General features: G+C 33.6%; 1 annotated feature.

Moving 5' to 3' along the window:
• Window positions 4,096-4,296: a silencer, noted in NCBI's record as "peak1832 fragment used in MPRA reporter construct". NCBI's record gives its function as "represses an SCP1 promoter by STARR-seq MPRAs in K562 erythroleukemia cells {active_cell/tissue: K562}" and the evidence as "EXISTENCE:reporter gene assay evidence [ECO:0000049][PMID:32103011]".

The raw sequence follows: 6,190 nt of genomic DNA on the forward strand, positions 1-6,190 counted from the left end.
TTGACCAAGCACCCACTGAATCCATACAGTGGGTATCTGTATCACCCACTGATACATTCTGAGTGTATCACATGGGATTTTGTCATGTTACTGAAGAATGATAATTATTTCAGCATTACAAACCTTCCTCTGCTAGGGTTTTTGATTTGTTTGTATTTTTATCATTCCTCCAAATGAGTGATGATATCTGGAGTTACCAGCTAGAGATAAAGAGGAATGGAGAGTGGAAAGCATTAGGAAATTATCTTCTCTTTTCAAGGTGACTGCATCAGTCAAGGTTGTTACAAAATCTTCATGATAGCACAGTAATTCTTCAGGTAAAATATTCTTATCAGTTGATTTGGGTTTTAGGATATTCTTATTCTCTTTAATCTCCCTTTCCAATTATCATGGTTCAACTCCTTCTCCACAAATACTCTAAATTTTGCATAAGAGATCTATGAAGCTAGGAAATTATTTTCTTTTTTAATTTGATAGCCTCCTGGTGCAAATTTTAGCTTCTTTTACTGAGACTCCTTGGGTGATTTTAAAAGGAACCCAGATAGTTTCCAGTTTCATCCATATCCCTGCAGAGGATATGAACTCATCCTTTTTTATGGCTGCATAGTATTCCATGGTGTACCTGTGCCACATTTTCTTTATCCAGTCTATCAGTGATGGGCATTTGGGTTGGTTCTAAGTCTTTACTATTGTGAATAGTGCTGCAATAAACATAGATGTACATCTGTCTTTATAGTAGAATGATTTATAATCCTTTGAGTATATACCCAGTAATGGGATTGCTGAGTCAAATGGTATTTCTGGATCTAGATCCTTGAGGAATCGCCACGCTGTCTTCCACAGTGGTTGAACTAACTTACATTCCCACCAACAGTGTAAAAGCGTTCCTGTTTCTCCACATCCTCTCCAGTGTCTGTTGTTTCCTGACATTTTAATGATCGCCATTCTAACAGGAGTGAGACGGTATCTCATTGTGGTTTTGATTTGCATTTCTCTAATGACCAGTGATGATGAGCTTTTTTTCATATGTTTGTTGGCCATATAAATGTCCTCTTTTGAGAAGTGTCTGTTCAGATCCTTTGCTCACTTTTCGATGGGGTTGTTTGTTTTTTTTCTTGTAAATTTGTTTAGGTTTTTTGTAGATTCTGGATATTAGCCCTTTGTCAGATGTTTAGATTGCAAAAATTTTCTCCCATTCTGTAGGTTGCATGTTCATTCTGATGATAGTTTCTTTTGCTGTGCAGAAGCTCTTTAGCTTAATTAGATCCCATTTGTCAATTTTGGCTTTTGTTGCCATAGCTTTTTGTGTTTTAGTCATGAAGTCCTTGACCATGCCTATGTCCTGAATGGTAACAGAGGAACAGAAAACCAAACACTGAATATTCCCACTCATAAGTGGGAGTTGAACAATGAGAACACATGGATACAGGGAGGGGAACATCACACACTGGAGGCTGTCAGGGGGTGAGGGGTTAGGGAAGGGATAGCTTTAGGAGAAATACCTAATGAAGATGATGGTTGATGGGTGCAGCAAACCAACACGGCACCATGTTTCTATGTAACAAACCTGCATGTATCCCAGAACTTAAAGTATAATAAAAATAAATAAGCAATAAAAGGAACCCAGAAAGGGCTTGAGTTTCAATCTTTGCCTTTAGCTGAGAATTTTGAAATCTGATCTTGTTGTTCTCTTTCTTATTATGTTTAGTGTGGTAGAAATAAACATTTTATTTTCACTTGCCCATCATACTAATTTATGGCAGTTGCCACTCAGACCCCAAAGATATTTTTATCAATAGGCACTTTATTTCGGATGACTGTAGAAATGGATTGGATAACCCATTACCCACAGTTTACCATGGAATGACAAATTTCTATTTCTCAATGTTAATTTGTGTTTTATTTTATTTATTTAATTTTTTTGAGATGGAGTTTCACTCTTGTTGCCCAGGCTGGAGTGCAATGGTGCAATCTCGGCTCACCACAACCTCCACCTCCTGGGTTCAAGCGATTCTCTTGTCTCAGCCTCCTGAATAGCTGGGATTACAGGCATGCACTGCCACACCTGGATAATTTTGTATTTTTAGCAGAGACAGGGTTTTCCCATGTCTGTCAGGCTAGTCTCAAACCTCCAACCTCAGGTGATCCACCCGCCTTGGCCTCCCAAAGTGCTGAGATTACAGGTGTGAGCCACCATGCCTGGCCGGGTTTTAAATTTTTAAAATTATTTTTAATTTTTGTGAATACATGTTAAGCATATATATTTATAGAGTATATCAGATATTTTGATACAGGCATGAAATGTGAAGTAAGCCCATCATGGAGAATGGTATATCCATCCCCTTAAGCACTTATCCTTTGAGTGGGGAGCTGTAGGAGGTGGGGATGGCTAATGGGTACAAAAAAATAGAAAGAATGAATGAGACTTGCTATTTGATAGCACAACAGGGTGACTATAGTCAATAATAACTTAGTTGTATATTTTAAAATAAAAAATAGTGTGACTGGATTGTTGTAACTCTCAATGTTAATTTAGATATTCATAATCTTCAGTCTCAAATATGCCAGTGAACAAAGCCTAGAATTCCCTATGCCCCTGAAGGTTTATTCTTGGAAACCATTCATTCAAATTTCTATACTGACTAGTATAAAATGACTAACTAGTATAATATAATATCATTTTCAGTTATAAATAACAGAAACAAATTAAGCAGAAAAGGACTTCATTGAAAAGGTCTCAGCTGAGCCATGGGTAAAATCAGTAGGAAAACTAGAGAACCAAGCTTGGGCAATATCATAGACAGGCAAGGTACAGCCAATATGGTACTACAGAGACAAAGTAACATCTTATGGAGCTGTTAGCCAGCTGGATCTTTGCCATTTCAGCAAGTACTGCTGCCACTGCAAACTCAACCTTTCTTATATTCACTGTCTTTGTCTCATAATCCCATTACATTGTTAATACCTTACAGAAATACCTCATGTAATAAAATATACAACTTAATCATGGCTTACTATGCACTTTGTGCCAGATACTTGGTAGCTTTTTTGTTGCTACCTAACCTAAATACTATTAGCAAAATGGAATTATCCTCATTTTGAACATGAAGAAGCTTGACTCAGAATTTAAGTAATTTGTGGAAAAAAATCACATAACTGATATCTGTGTAGTTGTATTTGCACTCCACTTTTGTCAGACTTCTAAATTCAGGACAGGTCATCCCTCCTTCTCCACCACAGGCTATATTTCCTCATTTATTTTTATTTTGTTTGGGAAGCAAATTGGCATTACTGGTCTTTTTGTACTACAACCAAAGATGAATGCTGTGTTTGCTTTGGTTTTTTGCCAGCCCTGCTTGGATCTACTGCTCAATCTATTATGGATGATATTATTTGCCTCCCGCATGCCAGTATACAGGAAAAAACTTGTTCAAAAAGTAAGCAACGGATATCCAAAGGAGTATGTGTTCATGATGTTATACAATGCCCTAGTGATTTCTTTTAATTGCCCCCTAGATTTCTAGGAAAAATGTTTGGGTTTTACTCTTCACTTTGCTTTTTAATCAGGAAATACTGGGAAAAATCAGTATAATTTTGGTCTGACAAAAATATGTTAAATAAGTAGGGTAAAAGACAAGGTTCAGGCTTGAATACTTGCAAAATTAAACCCTAGAACAACTTTTAAACAAACAAATTAAAACAAGCCCAGAACTTTAAATGACCATGTAGTGTAGTGAAAATACAGGTGATGGTCAAATGAGCAATGGCCCAGAGGCAAGGGAATGAACTCAGCTCAAAGGTTATATACTTCATGTACCCAGAGGTTTACAATTCTGTTTTTTTGAAGTGTAATTTAAGAACAGAGATGAAACAGAGAAACACAGGGGGAAAAAAAAGAAATAGTGAAGAAGGGAAGAAAAGTTCCACAAATCTTGCTTTTGTTTTAAAGGAATAATGAATTTACCTTTTATTACCTGTCATTTGAATCATTAACATTTTAGTATACTTAAATTTACCTGCTTTAGGAATTGATTTTTTAATAGGCTTTAGACTGTTTAAAAATATTATTAAATAAATAGAATAGTAACTAAAATAATGAATAGTTTGCATTACTATAGACTAAGTTTGAGTTCTACTTCTACTGCTAACTAGCTGATCAGTCCTCAAAACTGAGTTTTTGCATTATGCCATGGGTTCTTAGAAAGAGGAAGTGAGATAATGAATGTAAGGTAGTTACACTGATATATGACACATTGCTTGGGCTTCTCAATAACTGTTAGCTGTCATCATCATCATGACTGTATTATAACATAAAGTATTAAAATGAATAAAATTAATCATTTTAGATCTCAAACACCAACATCATCATTTAATGACAAATTACTATAACTGTAGCTAGACAAAGAATGGGTTCTATCTGCATTGTCATTCACAGAACTTGAAGCATGAGACAAAAATAAAAATGTTAGTCATTACAAAGGGAACAAAAAGTATCATTATTAATGGAGAATAGAATTATATACCTAGAAATAACTAATCAAAAGGAAAGAGATAGTTTAATAAAGTAGCTGTATCTAAAGTAAATATATAAAAGTCCACATTTCTTTGTATTAGTTTTTAAAATTCAATCATCAAATTTAAAAAAAATCTCATGTTTAAATTTATTAGATTTATAATATATTAATAGAATAATTTTGAGAAAAATATTAACAGCATCTAGGGAGAAAGCAACTATCGGAGAAGTAGGTGGCCTCGGAAGAATTTTGCTGTATGTGTATTGCTTATTTTTTCATTATAATGAGAATTTAACTATGAATTTATAATTGATTTTAGAGCTCTGAGAGAATAGAGAGAAATTCTAATTAGTGAGTAATAAAGAGAAATAATTGTTATTCATTTATAATAAGTTAGCATGACTTTAGACCAGGGTCTATGCCTTTTCAATCTACAATAAATAAAGACAATAGCAGCAGTAACCAATCAACGCAAAACACAGAATACCAAAAATAATCTCCAAAATGGAAAAACTTAGTAAACAAAGCAATTTGGGAAGAATGCATACTTAACATTTTTCTTTTGAAAACTGAAGCTATTTTAAATATCATCTATTTAATGTTTTCAAAGAAATTAGAGAAGTAATAATAAGATAAGAATTTTTTAAAAGATGAGATAAAGCCAAAAGCAACTTCCTGAGTTAAGGTAAACTAAAAAAAAAAAAAAACAAAAAAACTCTGACCATATTATCAAATGACATGGCTCTATAAAGAGTCTTTATGTAAAGGGAAAAAGAAGATTTTCATAGAATAGACATATATTTATAACAAACATTTTAAGAAATAAAATAGAGAAGATTATACAATGATATTTTGGTCCAATTTGAAGAAGAATAAATGGGGCATGCATATGTTCCCACATGGAAAATAAATACAAAATAATCAGAGACTTCAAGAGTGCTCATTAATCCTTCCCTGGCTGTATCTGCCTCCTTGCCACAGGTTATCATTATTCTAAATATTGTGAAAGTTTCTCCATCCCTTTAAACTATTTTACCATATGTATGTATATACACCCACACACACATATATATACTGAGAACCATCTATGATTTCATTTTCTTTTTTATATTGCTATAAACGAAATTATACTCTCTATATATTTCAATGACATTTCTTTACTCAATCTTGTGATCTTGAAATTTGCTTTTGTTGATATGTGTGGCAGTAATTTGTTCAGTTTTCACTCCTTTACGTGTTTCATTGTATAAACACATCATAGTTTATTCATCCTTACTTCTGTTGTTGGAAATTTTAAATGTTTCTAGGTTTCTTTTTGTTGTTCCTGCTATTATTTATGCACCACACACATGCACACATATACAAACACTCACTTGAAATTACTGGGTGAAAGGAAAAATTTATACTTCACTAGATAATACCATTTTACCTGGGATAATTTTGTCTATTTAGATTCCTGGCAGCAGTGTATGATGGTTCCTGTTATCTTCTATCCTATTCTTTAAAGAGTATTGCCAGACTTCTCACATTTTGTGAAGTTTCGGACATAAAATGATTTCCTAGTTTGTTTATATTTTGCCTTTCTCTGATTTCTAATGAGGATGTGCCACTTTTCACATATTTATTGGCGATTTCTATTCTGTAAAATAATTATATCTTTGGGTTATTTTTGCATT

This window comes from Homo sapiens, chromosome 12 (genome assembly GCF_000001405.40).
Source record: "Homo sapiens chromosome 12, GRCh38.p14 Primary Assembly".
NCBI lineage: Eukaryota > Metazoa > Chordata > Mammalia > Primates > Hominidae > Homo > Homo sapiens.